This window comes from Homo sapiens, chromosome 16, assembly GCF_000001405.40.
Source record: "Homo sapiens chromosome 16, GRCh38.p14 Primary Assembly".
NCBI classification, from domain to species: domain Eukaryota; kingdom Metazoa; phylum Chordata; class Mammalia; order Primates; family Hominidae; genus Homo; species Homo sapiens.
In genome coordinates this window covers 58,553,913-58,576,688 of record NC_000016.10, presented here as the reverse complement: position 1 = coordinate 58,576,688, position 22,776 = coordinate 58,553,913, and the positions used below count along the sequence as shown (strand labels likewise).

The 22,776-nt window shown below is 40.4% G+C and overlaps 1 protein-coding gene and 1 non-coding gene across 5 annotated transcripts in view; both read left to right on the top strand.

Annotated features, from left to right (window-relative positions):
* The window catches only part of CNOT1 (CCR4-NOT transcription complex subunit 1), a 109,876-nt gene that overhangs the window by 53,138 nt on the left and 33,962 nt on the right, over positions 1 to 22,776 (top strand). For 2 of the 4 annotated variants that reach the window (NR_049763.2, NM_001265612.2), the window contains exons 14-21: positions 107 to 226; positions 1,560 to 1,682; positions 1,929 to 2,080; positions 16,327 to 16,477; positions 18,015 to 18,216; positions 19,696 to 19,827; positions 20,781 to 20,905; positions 21,152 to 21,438. Coding sequence is in view for 3 of the 4 variants with exons in the window: in NM_001265612.2 (NP_001252541.1) it covers positions 107 to 226; positions 1,560 to 1,682; positions 1,929 to 2,080; positions 16,327 to 16,477; positions 18,015 to 18,216; positions 19,696 to 19,827; positions 20,781 to 20,905; positions 21,152 to 21,438 (1,292 nt within the window). In the remaining variant the exon portion in view is untranslated. Of the gene's footprint in view, positions 1 to 106; positions 227 to 1,559; positions 1,683 to 1,928; positions 2,081 to 16,326; positions 16,478 to 18,014; positions 18,217 to 19,695; positions 19,843 to 20,780; positions 20,906 to 21,151; positions 21,439 to 22,776 lie in introns of all 4 variants that reach the window. The other 2 variants (NM_016284.5, NM_206999.3) reach the window with 1 other exon arrangement.
* SNORA50A (small nucleolar RNA, H/ACA box 50A) lies at positions 16,758 to 16,893 on the top strand. The gene has a single exon (NR_002980.1). It is a non-coding gene; the product is annotated as a small nucleolar RNA, H/ACA box 50A (small nucleolar RNA).

Below are 22,776 nucleotides of genomic sequence, written 5' to 3'. Positions count from 1 at the left end.
ATACCTGATTTTTATACAAGTTCTAGCAAAATTAACTGGGCATTTGTAATAATATCTATCACAGTGTTTAGCAGTATTGCTATTTAATCTTTCTTCCCCTTTTTAGGGACAGTCTCCCTCAATTCGCCAACTTATCATGCATGCAATGGCAGAATGGTACATGAGAGGGGAGCAGTATGATCAGGCCAAATTGTCTCGAATACTTGATGTGGCCCAGGACTTGAAGGTGAGTTCAGAGGGACAGACTGACACCAGTTTATTTACTAATGAGAAAAAAAGGCCGGGCGCGGTGGCTCATGCCTGTAATCCCAGCACTTTGGGAGGCTGAGGTGGGCGGATCCACAAGGTCAGGAATTCGAGACCAGCCTGACCAAAACATGGTGAAACACCATCTCTACTAAAAATAGAAAAATTAGCCGGGCGTGGAGTGCGTGCCTGTAATCCCAGCTACTCAGGAGGCTGAGGCAGGAGAATCGCTTGAACCTGGGAGGCGGAGGTTGTGGTGAGCCAAGATTGTGCCACTGCACTCCAGCCTGGGTGACAGAGTGAGACTCCATCTCAAAAAAAAAAGAAAAAAGGAAAAAAAGTAAATGCTTATGTAACAAAGATGCTCTAGGAATAATTCACATGTGACTAGCTCCTAGAATGAGATGAGATTTAGAGGTTTCTTAAAAAGGATAGGAAGGAGAGTGGCTTTAGGTAGATAAAAGTGTTTTTATTTTTGATTGGTCTTCCATATATTGTAAAGCTGTTTTATAGTGAAAAGTTAGCTTTTCTCATAAGTTATGTTAGATACAGTTTTTGGGGAAACTAGGCATGCTTCTTCCCTTAAGCAACTCTGTGAGAATCAACAGGATCTTTTGATGAATTACTCTATATCTTTTTTTTTTGGAGATAGAATCTTACTCTGTCGCCCAGGCTGGAGTGTAGTGGCGCCTCTTGGCTCACTGCAATCTCTGCCTCCCGGGTTCAAGTGATTCTCCTGCCTCAGCCTCCCAAGTAGCTGGGACTACAGGCGCCTGCCAACGTACCTGGCTAATTTTTTTATTTTTAGTAGAGACAGGGTTTCACCATGTTGGCCAGGCTGGTCTTGAACTCCTGACTTTAGGTGATCCACCCACCTTGGCCTCCCAAAGTGCTGGGATTACAGTCGTGAGCCACCACGTACAGCCTAGACTCTATATTATTAATCACTAGGTGCATTAATGTACTGGTGATATAGTTGTGCTTAAGCCTGTGTTTAGATTTTGAAAAATGGGTAGGGATAATTATTCATGCTTTGAGTCTTGTTCTGCTCTAGGTTTAGTTATTTTAAAGAGCACGGTAAAGTTTGTTTGGAAGGTAGTGTCATGTATTCACCTTTAAAATGTGATCATTATTTTAGAAAATAATGACTAATGTTACCCCTGAATTGTGCTTAGCTGTTTAAATTGTGACCAAGGAAGTATTAGCAGTGTGTTTTATTTGAACTTGTTTGTGGAAAGCGAAAAACAGAATATGGGACAGAGATAGTTACTTAATTGCTCCATTTGCATTATCTAATGTGCTTTGTCCTTTAGGCCTTGTCAATGCTGCTAAATGGTACTCCATTTGCCTTTGTTATTGACCTTGCTGCACTTGCTTCACGTCGTGAATACCTCAAACTTGATAAGTGGCTCACAGATAAAATTCGAGAGCATGGGGTAAGCAGGATTTGTTCATTTATTTTTGCTCTTAAATTTTGGTGGCTAAAATGGCTATCAAGTACAACTTTTAAAATTTGTGCAGCAGTAATAAACTAAAGAAAAATTTGAAAGAAACAACTTTTTTAAATGGCAATGAAGATGTTACTTATTTTGGATTTTAGTTATAGTGCTTAGTAGTTATCTTTAATCCAAAAACATTTAAGATCAATTTTAAATACACTGAGAGACTTTTCTATTCTTCAGGAGCCTTTTATCCAGGCGTGTATGACTTTTTTAAAGAGACGGTGTCCTTCTATTTTGGGCGGACTTGCCCCAGAAAAAGACCAGCCCAAAAGTGCTCAACTTCCTCCAGAAACTTTGGCGACAATGTTGGCCTGTCTGCAAGCTTGTGCAGGGTAAGAAGTACATACATGAATATGACTTTTTTTGAATTGGATTATATGAATAATTGTAGACTTGCGGAAGAAGAGGTTCAGTGAAAGTGACAGCAGTTTAAAATGGTCCAATGGTTTTAAGTCCAAAGTCCTATACTATTTATGATACATACTAGATCCATTTGAGTTAAGGTTTTGTATCTGGTGTGAGGTAGAGGTCCAAATTCATCTTTTGCATGTGAATATCCAGTTGTTCCAGCAGCATTTGTTGAGACCACTACTTTGCCTTTTGAATTATTCTCAAAAAAAGCAATTGCCCATAGTGCATGGGTTAGTTTGTGGTCTCTCTCTTTTAAGTGGCAAGGTCTTGCTGTCGACTAGGCTGGAGTACAGTGGTGCAATCATAGCTTACTGCAACCTCAAACTCCTGTATTAAGTGATCCTCCCACCTCAACCTCCCAAGTACCTGGGACCACAGGCACGTGCCACCCACTCTCAGCTGGTTAAATTTTCTTCTTCTTCTTCTTCTTTTTTTTCTTTTTGTAGAGATGAGGTTTCAGTATGTTGCCCGAGCTGATCTCAAACTCCCGGGCTCAAGTGATCCTCCTGCCACAGCCTCCCAAAGTGCTGGGATTACAGGTGTGAGTCACCATACCTGGGCTATTTTTGGTTTCTTAATTCTGTTGATCTGTGTCTCAAAGGCCAGTTCCACAGTCTTGATCACAATAGGTTTTCAGTAAGTTTTGAAATTGGGGATTATGAATTTCCCAGCTTTGTTGTTTTTTAAAATTGTTGCAGCTCTTCTCGGTTCCTTGAATTTTCCTAAAAAGTTTAAGATCAGCTAGTTAAGGCTGGGTGCGGTGGCTCATGCCTGTAATCCCAGCACTTTGGGAGGCCGAGGCGGGCGAATCATGAGTTCAGGAGATCAAGACCATCCTGACTAACACGGTGAAACCCTGTCTCTACTAAAAATACAAAAAAATTAGCTAGGCGTGGTGGCGGGCGCCTGTAGTCCCAGCTACTTGGGAGGCTGAGGCAGGAGAATAGTGTGAACCCAGGAGGCAGAGCTTGTAGTGAGCCGAGATCTCGCCACTGCACTCCAGCCTGGGCGACAGAGCGAGACTCCATCTCAAAAAAAAAAAAAAAAAAAAATTGCAAAACAGCCTACTGGGAATGTTGAGAGGATTACGTTGAATTTTTAGCTCATTTGGGGGAGTACTGCTGTCTTAATAACATTGTCTTTTTAATCCGTGAATCTGGGATGTTTTTCTACTTATTTAGGTCTTTAATTTTTTTCTTTTTTTCTTTCTTTCTTTTTTTTTTGAGATGGAGTTTCACTCTTGTTGCCCAGGCTGGAGTGCATTGGCATGATCTCGGCTCACTGCAACTTCTGCCTCCCGGGTTCAAGTGATTCTTCTGCCTCAGCCTGCCGAGTAGCTGGGATTACAAGTGTGCACCACCATGCCCCACTAATTTTTGTATTTTTAGTTGAGATGGGGTTTTGCCATGTTGGCCAGGCCGGTCTCAAACTCCTGACCTCAGGTGATCTGCCACCTCAGCCTCCCAAAGTGCTGGGCTTACATGTGTGAACCACTACGCCTGGCCTCTTTAATTTTTTTCAGTGATATTTTTTCATTTTCAGTGTACATCTTGTACTGATTTTGTTAAATTTATTAATTATTTTATTTATTTAACTTAATTTTTTTTTCTTTTTTTTTTTTTGAGACAGAGTCTTGCTCTATTGCCCAGGCTGGAGTGCAGTGGTGCGATCTTGGCTCACTACAACCTCTGCCTTGCAGGCTCAAGTGATTCTCCTGCTTCAGCCTCCCAAGTAGCTTGGACTATAGAGACATGCCACCCCTCCCAACTAATTTTTGTATTTTTAGTAGAGATGGGGTTTCACCATGTTGGGCAGGCTGGTCTCGAACTCCTGACCTCAAGTGATCTGCCTGCCTTGGCCTCCCAAAGTTGCTGGGATTACAGGCATGAGCCACCACGCCTGGCGTTAACTTAATTTTTGTGTGTGTGTGTATGTCACCCAGGCTGGAGTACAGTGGCATGATTATGGCTCACTGCAGCCTCCACCTCCCCCCTCAAACTCTGAAGTAGCTGGCATTACAGGTATGCACCACCATGCCCAGCTAATTTTTTATTTTTTGTAGAGACAGGATTTCACTGTCTTGCCCAGGCTAGTGTTGAACTCCTGGGCTCAAGGCATCCTACCACTTTGGCCTCCAGAAGTGCTGCGATTGATTACAGGCATGAGCTACTGCACCTGGCCTATCTTTGTAGATCTATCTATTATTGAAAGTGGAGTACAGAAGTATTCAATTTTTTTTTTTTTTGAGATGGAGTTTTGCTCTTGTTGCCCAGGCTAGAGTGCAGTGGCATGATCTCGGCTCACCGCAACCCTCCGCCTCCTGGGTTCAAGTGATTCTCCTGCCTCAGCCTTCCAAGTAGCTGGGATTACAGGCATGCGCCACCACGCCTAGCTAATTTTGTATATTTAGTAGAGATGGGGTTTTTCCATGTTGGTCAGGCAGGTCTCGAACTCCTGACCTCAGGTGATCCGCCCGCCTTGGCGTCCCAAAGTGCTGAGATTACAGGTGTGAACCACCACGCCCAGCCCAATTTTTTTTATTTTTAATTTTTTATTTTTCTGAGACAGAGTCTGCCTCTGTCCCCCAGGCTGGTGTGCAGTGGTGTGATCTTGGTTCACAGCAACCTCCGCCTCCTAGGTTTAAGCGATTCTTGTGCCTCAGTAGCTGGGATTACAGGTGCTCACCATCACACCCAGATGATTTTTAAATTTTTAGTAGAGATGGGATTTCACCATGTTGGCCTGGCTGGTCTCAAACTCCTGACCTCAAGTGATCCACTCGCCTCAGCCTCCCAAAGTGCTGGGATCACAGGCATGAGCCACTATGCCCGGCCTCCTATTATTTTAACTGTCTTTTTCTCCCTTCAGTTTTGTCAGTTTTTCCGTCAGGTGTTTGGGGCTTTGTTTTTAAGTACATGTGTTTTTATAATTGTTACATACTTCTTTATTTTATTATTGTTTTTGAGATGGAGTCTTGTGTCTCGCTGTGTCACCCAGGCTGGAGTGTGGTGGCACTGTCTTGTCTCACTGCAACCTCCTCCTCCCACGTTTCATTGATTTTCCTGCCTCAGCCTCTGGAGTAGCTGGAACTACAGGCGTGCGCCACCATTTCCAGCTAATTTTTTTTTGTACTTTTAGTACAGATGGGGTTTCACCATGTTCCCCAGGCTGGCCTTGAACTCCTGACCTCAGGTGATCTACCCACCTTGGCCTCTCAAAGTGCTGGGATTATGGTCATGAGCCACCGTGCCCGGCCTTAATGGTTACATATTTCTGATGGATTGACCCTTACTGTAAAATGTCTTTGTCTCTATTAACAGTTTTTTTCTTAAACATTTGTTTTGTTTGATACTAGTATAACCATTATAGTTCTCTTATGGTGGTTTGCTTGGTATATTTTTGTTTTGTTTTTTGTTTTGTTTTGTTTTGTTTTTCTCAAGCTATATGTGTCTTAATTTGAAGTAGGTCTCTTTTAGAGAAGGTATGGTTGGAGCATGTTTGTGAATTTGTGTTTGTGTTTACTACATTCTGCCTGTCTTGCATTTAATGTATTTATTGATAATATAGGGCTCTTTTGCTGTTAATCTTTCTATCTCTTGTCACTTTTGTTCCTCTGTTCTTCCATTACTGCCTGTCTTACTGTTAAATAGATATTTTGTAGTGTACCATCTTAACTCCTATGTTTCTTTGACTTTATTTTTTGTTTTGTTTCTTAGTGGTTGCCTTGGGTATTAAAACTAACATTTTAACTTACTCCAATCTTTTAGTTTCGGTAGGATCCAAAAATTTCATTTAGTATGGCTTTGTCCCCTTCCCCTTGATTTTTGCCATTATTGTCATGCAAATTATACCTTTATACATTATGTGATCACCAAAAGGTTTATAATTCTTGCTTCATGCAGTTATTTTTTTGAGACAGGGTTTCATTCTGTTGCCCACGCAGGACACGATCACAGCTCAGTGCAGCCTCAACCCTCCAGACTCAAAGCGGTCCTCCCAGGTAGCTGGGACCACAAACATGTGCCACCACACCTGATAAATTTTTTAATTTTTTGTAAAGTTGAGGTTCTCAGTATGTTGCCCAGTCTGGTGTCGAACCTCTGGGCTCAAACTGATCTCCCGTTTTAGCTTCCCAAAGTGTTGGGATTACAGAAATGAGCCACTGCACCCAGCCCAGTTGTTCTTTAATTAGGAGATTTATACTGTCCTTTGTATTTACCTGTGTATCTTTGCCAGTAGTTTTTCATACGGATTCAGGTCAGTGTTCAGTGTTTTTTCATTTCAGCCAGGATTCTTGAATTTTTCTTGTTTCAGCAGGACTGCTAGCAATGAATTACCTCTTTTTGTTATCTAGGGAATATCCTAATTCCTCCTGTATCTTTGGGGATAGCTTTGCCAGATGAAGGATTCCTGGTTGGCATTCCTTTTCTTTGAACATTTTGAATATGCTCCCCCACTGCTTTCTGTCCTCCATGGTTTCTGATGAGACATCAGCTGTTAATTTATTGAGTATTGTATGTGATGAGTTGCTTCTATCTTGCTGCTGGTAAGATACTCTCCTTGTCTTTTTTCTTTCATCAGCTTGATTATGTTATTCTAGGTATGAATCTCTTTGAGTTTATTCTACTTAGAATTTATTGAATTTCTTGGGTGTCTAGATTAATGTTTTTAATAAAATTTATCGGGTTTTCAGTCATTATTTCTACAAATCTTTCCGTACCTTTTTCTTCTCTCCTTGTACTCCCATTATGTTTGTGGTGGCACACTCAGTAGTGCTCCACATGTCCTTGAGTTCTCAGCCCCCATCCCCCCACCCCCTTTTTTTTCATTTTCTCAGGCTGGATAATTTTAATTGATCTATCTTCAAATGAACTATTTTGTCTGCTTGAATGTGTGGTGGGACATGTGGTTAGTGAAACTTTATTACAGTTACTGTACTTTTTCTGTTTGGTATGTTGTAGAGTGTAGTATCTGATGGGAAAAAACGAATTTCTGTTTTTTGGTTTTTTTTTTTGCTAATTTCTATGGACATGCTTTTTGAGATAGTATTCCTATGTTTTCCTTCAGTTCTTTTGATATATTTTCTTTTAAACGTGTTCTGTAGTGGCTGGGTGTCATGGCTTCAGCCTATAATCCCAGCAGCACTTTGGGAGGCCAAGGTGGGTGGATCACTTGAGATCAGGAGTTTGAGACCAGCTGGCCAACATGGCAAAACTCCGTATCCACTAAAAATGCAAAAATTAGCCAGGCATAGTGAAGGGCGACTATAGTCCCAGCTACTTGGGAGGCTGAGGCAAGAGAATTGCTTGAACCCAGGAGATGGAAGGTACACTGAGCCGAGTTTGTGCCACTGCACTCCAACCTGGGCAGCAGAGTAAGACTCTGTCTCAAAAACCAAAATAAAATGAAAATAAATGTGTTTGGTAACTGATTTGAATTCCTTGTCTAGTAAGTCCAACAGCAGTGTTTCCTCAAGGATCATTTCTACATAGCTTTCCAGCCCTTTGCATGGGACACCCTTTTGTTTCTTTACAAGTCTTGTAATTTTTTTGTTGAAAACAGACAACTTTAAATAATATGGCATTTCCTGGAATCAGATCTTCCTTCTTCAGCAGAGCACATTGTTCGTTATTGCCCTTTTTTTGTTTAGTGACTTTCCTGAACTAATTCTGTTCTTTATAATAGTTGGCTACTGAAGTTCCTGCTTGGTTAGCCTTGTTGTCAGCTAAGATTGACGAGATTTTCTTAAACCTAATCTTGGGAATCAATTCAGCACTAAGCCAGGCAATTCACAGCCACCTTAGTCTTTACTTCCAAAGTTTTTTTTTTTTCTCTCTTTTTTTTAAAATCGAGACGGAGTCTCGCTCTGTCGCCCAGGATGGAGTGCAGTGGCACGATCTCGGCTCACTACAACCTCCACCTCCGGGGTTCAAGCGATTCTCCTGCCTCAGCTGAGTAGCTGGGATTACAGGAGCATGCCACCACGCCTGGCTAATTTTTGTATTTTTAGTAGAGACAGGGTTTCACCATGTTGGCCAGGATGGTCTCGATCTCTTGACCTCGTGATCTGCCTGCCTTGGCCTCCCAAAGTGCTGAGATTACAGGCTTGAGCCACTGCACCCGGCTCAAAGTTTTTCTTTACAGATTTTTTTTTTTTTCTTGAGATGGAGTTTCGCTCTTGTTGCCCAGCCTGGAGTGCAGTGGCACAATCTCGGCTCACTGCAACCTCCACCTCCTGGGTTCAAGTGATTCTAATGCCTCAGCCTCCCGAGTAGCTAGGATTACAGGCATGCACCATTACGCCCAGCTAATTTTGTATTTTCTTTAGTAGAGACAGGGTTTCTCATGTTGGGCAGGCTGGTCTCAAACTCCCGACCTCAGGTGATTCGCCCGCCTCCCAAAGTACTGAGATTACAGGCGTGAGCCACCGTGCCCGGCCTTCTTTACAGATTTTTAGTTAGCCTGTATGTAGTTTGCTCCAACTGTAGTAGTCTTCCACCTCAGATAGGCAATAAGTTTAAAACAGTTACTTTCAAATGTTTTTTGTAAACACCTCATGCAGAAAAGGTTTTTGTTTGGGTCAGTTTTCAGGTCAAATAAATCCAACCTTGTCATTGTGTTCTCACACAGACTCCCTATACAGATGAAATAATGACAATTCACTGAGAAGGAGGCTTTGAAGATGTTTTAACCCTGTTTTGATTCACCTCTCAGGCTTCTGGTTTTCATTGTGATTGAGGGCTGTCAGCTTCTAAGCTGGCTGTGGAGCTGGAGATGGGAATAATAGGGCAAATTAATGTGCTAGAAAACTTGATAGTCTCTTGAATAAAAATTTCCCACTTGTTATAAGCCTTTGGTTAACTTCCAAAGTTCTGAAAAAGTTGATTCAGACACTTTTCTAGTTGCTTTTATGAAGGAGAGGAAGTCAGCCCATACCCTGTCGTTTTGCTTTATGAGAAGGTTTTTTTTTTTTTTTTTGAGATGATGTCTTGCCTCCAATTACCTGGGATTACAGGTATATGCTACCATGCATGCCTATTTTTTAAATTTATTTTTATTTTTAATTTTCTGTGGAAATGGGGCTTCACCATGTTGCCCAGGATGGTCTCAAACCCCTGAGCTGAGGCACTCCTCCTGCCTTGGCTTCCGAAAGCGCTGGGATTACAGGTATGAGCCACCACGCCCGGCCAGCATTATTTCTTTTTGTTGTTGTTTAAATAGTCTCACTCTATTACCCAGACTAGAGTGTAGTAATGTGATCATGGCTCACTCGTGGGCTCAAGCAGTCCTCTCTGCATCCTAAAGCGCTGGGGTTATAGGCATAAGCCACCTATGCTCAGCCTTTTTTTTTCTTTCTTTCTTTTTTTCTTATGAGGTCTTACTGTGTTGTTGTACAGTCTGAAGTACAGTGCATGTTCACAGGCACAATCATAGCTCAATGCAACCTTGAACTCCTGGCTTAGTCTTCCTGCCTGAGCCTTGTGAGTAGGTGGTCCTATAGACGCATGCCACCATGCTTGGCCTGATGGTCTTTTTGGCTGTTATAATTAGAGAGAAACGTGCCTCTAATACCTAGTAGTGTAGAAACCAATGATACTAGGCTGGGCGCGGTGGCTCACAGCTGTAATCCCAGCACTTTGGGAGGCCGAGGGTGGGTCACCTGAGGTTGGGAGCTCAAGACCAGCCTGATCAACATGGAGAAATCCCATCGCTACTAAAAATAGAAAAATTAGCCAGGCGTGGTGGCGCATGCCTGTAATCCCAGCTACTCGGGAGGCAGAGGTTGGGGTGAGCCAAGATCTTGCCATTGCACTCTGTCTGGGCAACAAGAGTGAAACTCCGTCTCAAAAATAAAAAAAAGAAACCAATCATACTGGCTAAACATTCCACAGTGCACAAGACTGCCTTGTACAACAAATAATTATCCATTCCAAAGCACTCTGCTCTATAAGCTCTAAATGTTCTACAGTTTCAAGTTCTAAAGTGTAACCTTTTACATTTATACATTTTAATCCATCTGCAGTGGAATATTCTGGAAAGTTAATTGCCTGTTAAAATTGCGCAAAATGTTTTTATTGTAAGAAGGCAGTTTACCTAACTTCCAGGTTTCAATTAATTTCTTTAATTGATCTATTAGCAGTACTTGTTGAAAAATTTAATAAGATAATGTATCCAAAGTATTTTGAGTCCATACTGATGATAATAAATGCCAGAGAAGGAAAGTTATTTCAACTAATAAATATAGAAGAATTACGATGGAGTTGTAATCTTTAATGTGTGTTAATAGTAATGGATATATGTTTGAAGAGCAGGATAATTATGTAGTTTGAAAATATCTCTCCACAAATTACATTGTAATTACAAAGGGGGAAAACAACTTCAGAAAAACCTGTCAGATACCATGTTAGTCTACTGATCAAAGTGATCACCATCTGAAACCTACATCATGTGTTTCATAAAATGCACTGAGAAGAATACAAGGTAATTTATTCTGTAAGGTTATAATACCTAATTTGAATTTAGAACATCAGACAAACTCAAATCAAGGGACATTCTACAAAACAACTGACTTGTACTTTTTTTTTTTTTTGAGGCAGGGTCTTGCTCTCTTGCCCAGGCTGGAATGCAGTGGTGCGAACTCGGCTCACTACAACCCCTGCTTCCTGGGTTCAAGCAGTTCCCTCAGCCTCCTGAGTAGCTGGGACGACAGGCGCACACTACCACACCTGGCTAATTTTTTGTATTTTTGGTAGAGATGGGGTTTTGCCATGTTGGCCAGGCTGCTCTTGAACTTCCTGACCTCAAGTGATCTGCCCACCTCTGCCTCCCAGAGTGCTGGGATGACAGGTATGAGCCATTGCACTTGGCCCTGAGTTGTACTTAAAAAAATAAAGTCAAGAAGAACACGTAAAGGCTAAGAAAATCTTTCAGATTAAATGACCTGAAGAGAGGTGACAACTTAATGCAATGGGAAAAATAGCTTTGAAGAGCATTGTGGGAATAGTTGGTATAATGTGAACATGGCCTATTTATTTTATCATTGTTAAGCTTCTGATGTTTGATTTTACATGGCTATGTAGGAAAATGTTTTTGTTCATAGAAAATATATAGTGAAGGCTGAGCATGGTGGCTTACACTTGTAACTCCAGCACTTTAGGAGGCTGAGGTGGGCAAATTGCTTGAGCTTAGGAGTTTGAGACCAGCCTGGGCAATGTCGCGAAACCCCGTCTCTGAAAAAAAACATTTAAAAATTAGCTGGGCATGGTCTGTATGCGTGGAGTCCCAGCAGCTGGGGAGGCTGAGGTTGGAGGATCATCTGAACTCAGGAGGCAGAGGCAGAGCCATAATTGTACCACTGCATTCCTGCCTGGGCGACAGTGAGACCCTGTCTCAAAAAAAGAAGAAAACATGTAGTGAAGCATTTAGGGATAAATTCATGGTATATCCAAACCAATGCTTCAGGGCGAAAAGTATAGAAATAATGGTTAGGTTAATAAGGCAAATGTATACCATTGGCGTGAGAAGCATTTGTGGGAGTTAATTGTAATATTCTTGCCACTTCTTTTATTTATTTATTATTTATTTATTTTTTTGAGACGGAGTTTTTCTCTTGTTACCCAGGCTGGGGTGTAATGGCACAATCTTCGCTCACTGCAACATCTGCCTCCCAGGTTCAAGCGATTCTCCTGCCTCAGCCTCCCGAGTAGTTGGGATTACAGGTGCGCGCCACCACTGCCCAGCTAATTAATTTTTTGCATTTATAGTAGAGATGGGGTTTCATCATGTTGGCCAGGCTGGTCTCAAACTCCTGACCACAGGTGATCCTCCACACCCGGCCAATTCTTGCCACTTCTAAGTTTGAAACTGTGTAAGAAATAAGAATTTATCCCTAAATAGTAAAGGTGAATATTTTAATTTACCATATTTTATTCTAAAGTGCCCATTTTATTTTTCTTCCTACTTTAACATTTCTGAAATGATGTGTCTCATTGGTGATGTGTCTTATATTACAATTGGTGGAATTACTTTTTTTGTTTTTGCATAGGACATAAAATATTAGTGTGGCTTACACAATTGAAGGCATTTTGGATTCAATGCAGTATAATATAATTACCATCTACTGCTTGGTACCCTGTTTTTCTAACCCATGGCACTGGTCTTTTTGGAACAGTTTCTTTTTAATTTAGTGGTTTGTTTGTTTGCTTTTGTTTTTGTGATTGGTAAAATATAGGTGTGGTTTTAAAGTCAAAACTCTAAAGCAAGATACATTTGGAGAAATCTTCCTTTGAACTCTGATACCTCTACCTTGTTCTCCTTTTCTCCTGTAGTTAGTCACTATCATTAATATTTTTGGGTTATCTTATATTAAAAACAAATACATACTTATTCGTATATTTATCCCTATCCTTCACTGTAGAAGAGATAATATGCAACTTGCTTCTTGATCTTATATCCTAGAGTTCACTCCATACAATTAGAGAGCTTCCTTATTTCTTTTACTTGCTGCATAATACTCCATTGAATGGCTGTTCTGTACTGTAGTCAACCAGTCTCCTACTGGTGGAAATTTGCATTGTTTTCGCTTTTGTATCACATACAGTGTTGCAGTGAGCAGTGTTTTGCATCCATCATTTTTACCAATGTATAATTGGACTACTAGAAGTGGATGTGTCAGAATAATAGGTAAATTCATCTGCGATTGTGTTAGGTATCGCAAAATTTTCCTCCATAGGGATTTTTCTATTTTGTAAAACCAGCAGTGTTATTGCATCTATTTCCCCACAGCCTTGCTAATATAGTATGTGCCTGTTATTATGGTGAGATATGGGACAACATGGAGATACGGTATCTCTATGAAGTTTTAATTGTTGTGGAGTATTTGGAATGCAGATACATTTGTAAATGAAGCTTCAGAGGACCTCTTGTTTCCTTAAATTTGAAATACTTTTAATTATTTTGAGCATTTTTGTGGAAACTAATGTTCTACTTGTTTCTAAAGTAAATAAGTAGACCAATACCTTTAGGAGTATAAGGCTCCCTTTTCTTTTTTGTGGTCTGCATTGCATAACAATAGGAATGCATTTCTGAGATATGTGTCATCAGGCAATTTTGTCTTTGTGTGAGCATTATAGAGTATACTGTTAGAAACCTAGATGGTATAATGTACTGTATACAGTTTGCCTATGTGGTATGGCCTATTCCTCCTAAGCTACCAACCCATACAGTGATGTTACTATACTGAATATACTGAAGGCAATTATAACACAATGGTATTTATATATTTAAACAGAAAAGTTACAGCAAAATACATTATAATATGTGGGACAACCATTGTATATGTGGTCCCATATACCATTTTGTTGACTGAAATGTCATTATGTGGTATGGGACTGTATTTTTCTTCCTGGCTTCAGTGGACATAAAACAACGCGTTTATTTCATTTGTTGTCTGTGTTCAGACTATTGTTATTTTGCTATTGGCACAAGTACAAATTTTCATAGATTTTTCTCTATTGATTTAATGTAATATAGGCTTATTCAGTACTGTTAGCACCCTAGTCTTATTTTTTCCCCCCAAATGTGAAACAGCTTTCTTTTCTGAGTGATGACTTTTACTTCTTAATGCCAGTAGTAACATTCTGAATTTAGGTGGGAAGATTTAAAGACTAAGTTCATGTACGGCTGCTACTGCTTTTTTTTGTTGTTTAAGATGGAGTCTCGCACTGTCACCCAGGCTGGAGTGCAGTGGCGCGATCTCAGGTCATTGCATCCTCTGCCTCCCGGGTTCAAGCGATTCTCCTGCCTCAGCCTCCCGAGTAGCTGGGATTACAGGCACCTGCCAACACACCCGGCTAATTTTTTGTATTTTTAGTAGAGACGGGATTTCACTGTGTTGGCCAGGCTGGTCTCAAACTCCTGACCTTGTGATCCGCTTGCCTCTGTCTCCCGAAGTGCTGGGATTACAGGTGTGAGCCACCGTGCCTGGCCGCCCCCCCGCCGCTTTTTTTTTTAATTTATTTTTTTTAGAGACAGGGTCTTGTTCTTTCTCTAAGACTGGAGTGCATTGATGTGATCATAGCTCACTACAGCCTTGAAATCCTGGGCTCAAGCACTCCTCCCGCCTCAGCCTCCCAAGTAGTTATGACTACAGGCATGTGCCACCACACCTGGCTAATTTTTAAAATTTTTTGTAGAGATGAAGTCTTGGCTGTGTTCACAGGCTGGTCTCGAAACTCCTTCCTCAAGCGATCCTCCCACCACTGCCTCCCTCCCAAAGTGCTGGGATTACAGGTGTAAGCCACCTCCACCTCCCAGCTACCATGTAGAGCCTCTTTTTTTTTTTTTGATACGGAGTCTCACATTCTGTTGCCCAGGCTGGAGTACAGTAGTGCAATCTTGGCTCCTGGGTTCAAGCAATTCTCCTGCCTCAGCCTCCTGAGTAGCTGGGATTAGAGGTGCCCGCCACATGCCTGGCTAGTTTTTGTATTTTTAGTAGAGATGGGGTTTCACCATGTTGGCCAGGCTGGTCTTGAGCTTCTGACCTCAGCTTCTGACCTGAGTTTCTGACTTCAGGTGATCTGCCTGCCTCAGCCTCCCAGAGTGCTAGGATTATAGGCATGAGCCACCGCACCCGGCCCGAGTAGAGCTTCTGAATACAAGGGACCCCATAGTTGTATGAGGCAATACAGATTGAGTATCCCTTCTTTGAAATGCTTGGGGTCAGAAGTATTTAGGATTTTGGTTTAAAAAATTTTTTAAAAACCATTTGCATTATACTTACTTGCTTAATATACACCTCAAATTCCAAAATTCAAACTCCGAAATGCTACAATGAGCATTTCCTTTAAACATTGGCATTCAAAAAGTTTTAGATTTTGTAGCGTTTGGTATTCAGATTCTCAGATTTGGGATGCTCAACCTGTAATAGCAACCTAAGATAGGAAAATTGGTTTAATTGTCAAGTAAACATTTACCCTACTTGACATTTGTTTTAGAGGTCAGTCACTGCTTCATGTGCTTGTTAAAGGTAATTACTATGCATGGTGTTTTTGTCTATAAGTACATGTATTATCTTAGACTGTGATATACTAGTATAAAAATTGCATGCCTGTTTGCTTTGATATGTCTGGGTTTGGGCATAATTTTTGACAAAGTGGTTGAAGCTATGGAATGTTTTCTGGAAAATTTTAATATATTTTGGTTGTACTATATACTAGTTCATTTCAGAGGTGCAAATTAGTTTCAAGAGAAAGCCAGTACTCAGAAAATTCTAGTGATGAGTGACAGATGCAGAGGGATGGGATGTGGCAGAAATTTAGCTACATGCTCCAGCAAGTTTTCCTTCCGCTTTCCCTTCTCATCTCTTACCCAGGCTGAAGTGCTGTGGTGCGATTATAGCTCATTGCAGCCTCGAACTCCTGGGCTCTATCAGTCCTCCCACCTCAGCCTCCCAAGTAACTGGGATTACAGGCACATGCCATGACATCCAGCTAACTTTTTTTTTGAAGACGGAGTCTTACTCTGTCACCCAGACTGGAGTGCAGTGGCGCGATCTCGGCTCACTGCAACCTCTGCCTCCCAGATTCGAGTGATTCTCCTGCCTCAGCCTCCCGAGTAGCTGGGACTACAGGCATGCGCCACCATGCCTGGCTAATTTTTGTGTTTTTAGTAGAGACGGGGTTTCACCATGTTAGCCAGGCTGGTCTCGAACTCCTGACCTCAGGCAATACCCCCGCCTTGGCCTCCCAAAGTGCTGGGATTACAGGCATGAACCACTACGCTCAGCCTCGACTTTTTAATACTTATTTAATATTTGTAGACATGGGGTCTCGCTATCTTGCCCAGGTTGGCCTCAAACTCCTGGCTCAAGCAATCCTTCCGCCTCAGCCTTTCAAAGCAGTGAGACTACAGGTATGAGCCACCGTGCCCAGCCTCAACAAAGTTTCTTTATTAGAAAATCAGATTGGTACTCGGGAGGCTGAGGCAGAAGAATCGCTTGAACCCGGGGGGCAGAGGTTGCAGTGAATTGATATCGTGCTACTGCACTCCAGTCTGGGTGACAGAGTGAGACTCCATCTTAAAAAAAAAAAAAATCAGATCGGTTGGTTTACTTACATGTGCTAGAGAATAGGAACTGATATTTTTTACCTTTTCCCCTCTATTTTAGGAGTGTTTCTCAGGAGCTATCAGAAACTATCCTCACCATGGTAGCCAATTGCAGTAATGTTATGAATAAGGCCAGACAACCACCACCTGGAGTTATGCCAAAAGGACGTCCTCCTAGTGCTAGCAGCTTAGATGCCATTTCTCCTGTTCAGGTAAATGAGTGCTACATTTGATACATCTTCATTTGCCATAGATTTGGAATAGAATAAGCTCCTATGTCATTAATAAATTGTCTGAATTTATTACATTTTAGATAACTGCATGTCTAGCATCCACTTATTTTAAAGGAGATATGTAAATAGGCATTGTAGTTAACAATAGATTTTATCATCAAATAGAACGTGACTCTAAGAGGAAATATACAGACAATTTATTTAGGTAAATGAAGAGGGTTTCTTTTTAAAATATGAATTACGTAGACTCTTGAGACATAAGCACTGCCTTTGAACCTGATGTGTCTTGTTTGTAGCTTCACGGGCCAAGCAACAGTGCTAGAGCATAACGACTTGTTATAACTGGGGCTCTTCAGCTCTCAACTGAACTGCTCTTTTAAAAACAAGGTACATTTAAGTTACTCCCTGACATCAACCACCCCCTTCTCTCTGGGAGCAACATATTGCGCTTCTATTTTCAGATGCATTGAATGGCAGATTGGGTTTTAAGGAAGAAAGAGGCTAAAAGTTAGTGATTCAGTGGCTACTTCCCTATAAAAGGCATTTGCTTGTCATTTTCTATAGCCATGAAGGTATGAAGTAGTGCCACACACTTAAGCCTGGAAGTGCAGTTATTAGATATTTTAAAAATACATATTTTGGTGAATAGCATACCTTGTTTTTGTTTTCAAAATTGGAGCTGATCTTCCCCCACCTCAAAAATCCCCAAATTTCGACTAAATTTATTTTGGGAGATTCGTTTCTAATTTCTAATACTTTTATTTATGTTGAAACTTACTTAAATTTAGCTTGATTGTTTTAAAGTGGCTTATTGGAATTTGTGAGGATTTATTAATATAATAAGTGTCCCATGTCACTACTAAATGTTTAGTTTAGGGCAGTTCATCTTAAGTGTTGTTCATTAGATTTTGTAGCCCTTTTTATGGCTCTGTTATAGGTTGAGCATCCTTAATCTGTAAATCCAAAATGCTCCAAAATCAAACTTTTGGAGCACTGACATGACACGCCACAAGTAGAAAATTCCATACCTGATCTGATGCTACGTGTTGAGTCAAAACATAGTCATAATTATGTTTCATGCAAAAAATTCTTTTAAAAAAACTGTATAAAATTACATTCTGGTTATGTGTATATAGGTATATGTGAAACAAGTGAATTTCATGTTTTGACATGGGTCCCATCCCCATGATGGGATTGTTAGGATATCTGGTTATGTATATGCAAATATTCTAAAATCCAAAATTGAAAACTTTTCTGGTTCCAAGTATTTTCAATAAGGGATACTCAACCTGTACTTTGTCAAAGGCAAACTCTTTAAACCTATTCTGTATGTGACACAGTAAGAAAAGTGACTGACACACTTGACTTGATAACTGGGATTTAAGTATCATCGTGATTGAGTGGGTGTAATAGTTTGCTTTTTAAGATTATGAAGAGCTGTTGTTAAAGATTGCTTTACATGTGTCTGCCTTTCCTCGAAGTATGTTTAATACATTTTTATAATGTTTTTCTTTAGATTGACCCTCTTGCTGGAATGACATCTCTTAGTATAGGTGGTTCAGCTGCCCCTCACACCCAGAGTATGCAGGGTTTTCCTCCAAATTTGGGTTCTGCATTCAGTACCCCTCAGTCACCAGCAAAAGCATTTCCACCCCTTTCAACCCCCAATCAGACCACTGCATTCAGTGGTATTGGAGGACTTTCATCACAGCTTCCAGGTAAGGGGGAGGCAAATGAGAGCATGGATTATTCATAAGTTTGCCTTAGTTATGCCTTAGTGTTTGGTAAGGGGTTTGGAGTCACTGTGATAAGGAAAGCTGCTTAAATGAAATTGTGAAAGCTACTTCAGTATCCAAAGTTGGGAAAAGAAAAACAGATTATATTCAATTCAGTCTAATTGGAGGAAAGAATTAGGATATTTGTAGTTGTAAAGTTAGTTGAATTATTTAGTAAGGATTTTTTATTAACAAATGATAGTATAAGTGGTAACATGTATGTGCATCACATTCTAAAGGGCTTAGATCAAAAACTCACAGCTTTATGAATTCAGGTTGGTATAATAAAGGTAGAAACTATTGTACCTATCAGGTTCAGGCATATGTTCTGCCTGCCTTATTGCATTTCACCAACCTTGAAAATGATAGGACATCCCAAAAACATTTTAAGGTTTTTTTTCGTTTGTTTGTTTTTTGGGTAGTGGGGGACAGGGTTTCGCTCTTGTTGCCCAGGCTGGAGTGCAGTGGTACGATCTTGGCTCACTGCAACCTCCGCCTCCCAGGTTCAAGCGATTCTCCTGCCTCAGCCTCCCGAGTAGCTGGGATTACAGGTGCCCGCCACCATGCCATGCTAATTTTTTGTATTTTTAGTAGAGACAGGGTTTCACCATATTGGCCAGGCTGATCTCGAATTCCCGACCTCAGGTGATCCACCCACCTTGGCCCCCCAAAGTGCTGGGATTACAGGCATGAGCCACTGCGCTTGGCCACATTTTCAGTTTTTTTCCCAGATATTGTTCCATGTAACTTTACATTGAAATAAAAGCTATATTTTTTTTGTTGTTGTTGTTGTGGTTGTTTGTACCTACATCTTCTTAGCCCCTTGTACCTTTTATGTTGACACTGTAAGTTTGGGCACTAAAACCTAAGGACTTCCATGTTGTCATTGACTCTAATCTAGTTAGCGTTGCTACTGTATGCTTCTAGCTTTGATTAATTCATTTAAATAAACGTCACTGAACTTATTAAGGCCTTCCTAGCAAAGCTCTAATTATTGTAAGATTCCTTTTGTCGGAGTTGAGAGGAATAAAGAAGTTTTGAGACTCATGGTAACTTTAGAAGATAGTATCATGAAATTATTTGATTTGAATCATTGAGAAAAGCCAGCCAGCTCCTTATTTTAACTACCTTGGGTATAGGAGTATGTGCTTTGAGAATGTATACATTAATTTTTTGCACATTATCAAGAATATAAATAATTCCAGATGCTAAAGAAATTTGGGGATTATCCGTTACTGCCTAGTTTATAGGCTCTGTAAAATTGAATAGATGTAATAAGGGAATTAACAAAGACTCTGACTTTTAAAGTAAGAGTTACTATGACTTTATTTTAAAAGTCTGTCTTATTAATATATCTGAGATGTGAATAAAATCAAGAATATGAATAATGATAGGATTTGTGGCTGCCTTCGTTCTCTCTAGTAGGTGGTCTTGGCACAGGCAGCCTGACTGGTATAGGAACTGGTGCTCTTGGACTCCCTGCAGTGAATAACGACCCTTTTGTACAGAGGAAACTGGGCACCTCTGGACTGAATCAGCCTACATTCCAGCAGAGTAAGATGAAACCTTGTAAGTGGTAGTGTTGTCTGTGATTGTGAAGTGTGACTGATAAAAATGTTTAGTTGTATGTCTCATTTGTGTTAGTAGGGCCATGTGTTGATGTGCCTCCTAGACCAATGGGAATAAATTCACAAATTTGAATTATTAAAAGTTAGAGGTATCACTCCTTCCCAGAACAAAGTCGTGGTTAATAAGAGGCTGCATCCTGAGGGTGTTTATCCTAAAAGTAAGAAGTAGGTATGATAAAGAGAAATTAATATGTGGTAGATATACGAATGTAACTCTTGAACTTAACCTAAACATGTGTTGAGTTTTTTTTAAAGCAAGTCAGGAGTGAGAAGGACAATTTCAGATTTCTGTTTCCAATTTTTGTTTCACCTCCTTAGTAATTTTTTATGCTAACTAAACTCATAGAAGTCATCTTTATAAATCCATAGGTATAATTGACTGAAGTCCTTGTCATTGGGACTGCATAGTCATGACACGAGGTTGAAAGTATTCCAGCTGACTTGATAACGTTAGTGTGAAAGGCTTGTCTGAATGTTATGTTTTGTAGCATGCTTTGTGTTTACATCAGTCTTTCATGCACATGCATGATAATTCTTATATGTTAAATGTGATTTTTATTATAAAGTGATAAAGATTTGTTAACCTAATGAGGTTGTATTAAGGGTAAGTGCGTTATGAGTTTGAACCAAGTTAACTTTTGTGTTAATAAGTCCTGATGAAGATAATACTAATGTAGAATTATGGAAGGCACTTTGTTAAGGATCTTTTACGTCTACCCTAGCACACATTAATACTGAAACTTGACCGCTTAATACCTTTTCCAGTTTTTTTATATTTCCCTTGAAGTTAGAGCTATAATAGTCTCTGGCTGGCTGTGTTTTATGGGGAAGTGGAGGAAGGGCTTAAATGCCCACTGATTCCTTTTTTGTTTCCAACAGCGGACTTGTCTCAGGTGTGGCCAGAGGCAAACCAGCACTTTAGTAAAGAGATAGATGATGAAGCAAACAGCTATTTCCAGCGAATATATAATCATCCACCACATCCAACCATGTCTGTTGATGAGGTGAGTGTCTAGGATGATCTACTTATTTATTGTTTAGGCCAGTCTTAAATAAATGTCCTTTTCAATGTTTTTAGAAATCCAGCTCAAAGTGCCCTGATATAGCGGTTTGTGTTTTGAAACCTTAATATTTGTCTCAAGCTCTTTTGGTAAATGTTCTACTTAATAGTCTTTTGTTAAGCATATTTGAGAAAGGCTCTTAGTAATTGTTTCCTTTATGTGTGCGTTGTTTTTGTCTTGCTTTTCCAGGTATTAGAAATGCTGCAGAGATTTAAAGACTCTACTATAAAGAGGGAACGAGAAGTATTTAACTGTATGCTAAGGAACTTGTTTGAAGAATATCGTTTTTTTCCCCAGTATCCTGATAAAGAGTTACATATAACAGCCTGCCTATTTGGTGGTATAATTGAGAAAGGACTGGTCACTTACATGGCACTAGGTCTGGCTCTACGATATGTTCTTGAAGCCTTACGCAAGCCTTTTGGATCCAAAATGTATTATTTCGGGATTGCTGCACTAGATAGATTTAAAAACAGGTAAGTGGATAGGTTTCCTGTGAAGGATCTCTTCCCTGACCCCGCAGACAGGGTCTTAACTCTCATCCAGGCTGGAGTGCAGTGGCGCAATCTCGGCTCACTGCAGCCTTGACCTTGCGGGCTCAAGTGATTCTCCCACTTCAGCCTCCTGAGTAGCTGGGACCACAGGTGCATACCACCATTCCCAGCCTTTTGTAATTTTTGTACAGACAGGGTTTCACCATGGTCTCAAACTCCCACCTTGGCCTCTGAAAGTGCTGGGATTATTGGTGTGAGCCACTGTGCCTGGCCTGAAGCTTTTTTTTTTTTTTTTTTGAGATGGAGTCTTGCTCTGTCCCCCAGGCTAGAGTGCAGTGGTGCAATCTGGGCCCACTGCACCTTCCGCCTCCTGAGTTCAAGCGATTCTCCTGCCTCAGCCTCTCAAGTAGCTGGGATTACAGACGCGTGCCACTGCACCCAGCTAATTTTTGTATTTTTAGTAGAGACAGGGTTCCACCATGTTGGCCAGGCTGGTCTTGAACTCCTGACCTCGGGTGATCCACCCACCTCGGCCTCCCAGAGTGCTGGGATTATAGGTGTGAGCCACTGGGCCCAGCCAAAGCCTCTCTTTTTTAATATAAGTGGTAGGAAAACTAAAATGAGAACAGAGGTTTTTTGGTTGGTTATTTATGAGGTATACTTCGTACAGTAGAAGTCTTCCCTTTAGGTGTATAGTTCTTTGAATTTTGACAAATTTATACAGTTGTGTAACTACCACCACAATCAAGATACAGAATATTTTGGAACTCCTGGCCTCAAGTGATCTTCCTGCCTCCCACAGTGATGGGATTATAGGCATAAACTACCATGCCTGGCTGATGCAGAATATTTTCATTATCTCCCAAGAGGTTTCCTTGTTCCCCTTTGTAGTTAGTCCCCTTCCCTGACTTCCAATCTCTGATAATCTCTAAAGTTTTTCTAGAATGCCATTTACACAGAGTCATACAAATATGTAGTTTTTTGAGACTTACGTTACTACGTTTCAGTAGTCTGTTTTTTTTTTTACAGCTGTGTAGTATTCTACTATATGAGTTGACTACAAATTATTTTTCCATTCGTATGTTGGTGAAAATTTGAATTGTTTCCAGAGAAGTGGCTCGTTTTAATCTATTTTTAAGTAAAATATAGCCTTTAAAAATCAGAGGTAGTGTATTTTCTGATGTAAATCCTGTGAAAATCATAAGTATTTTCTCCTTCTATTTTTGTTTTCTTCACTTTGACATTTTCTTCAAATAAGTTATTCATAGGTAAGATGGAAAAAAATGACCTAGATTAGCATTTGGACAAAAACATTTTGTT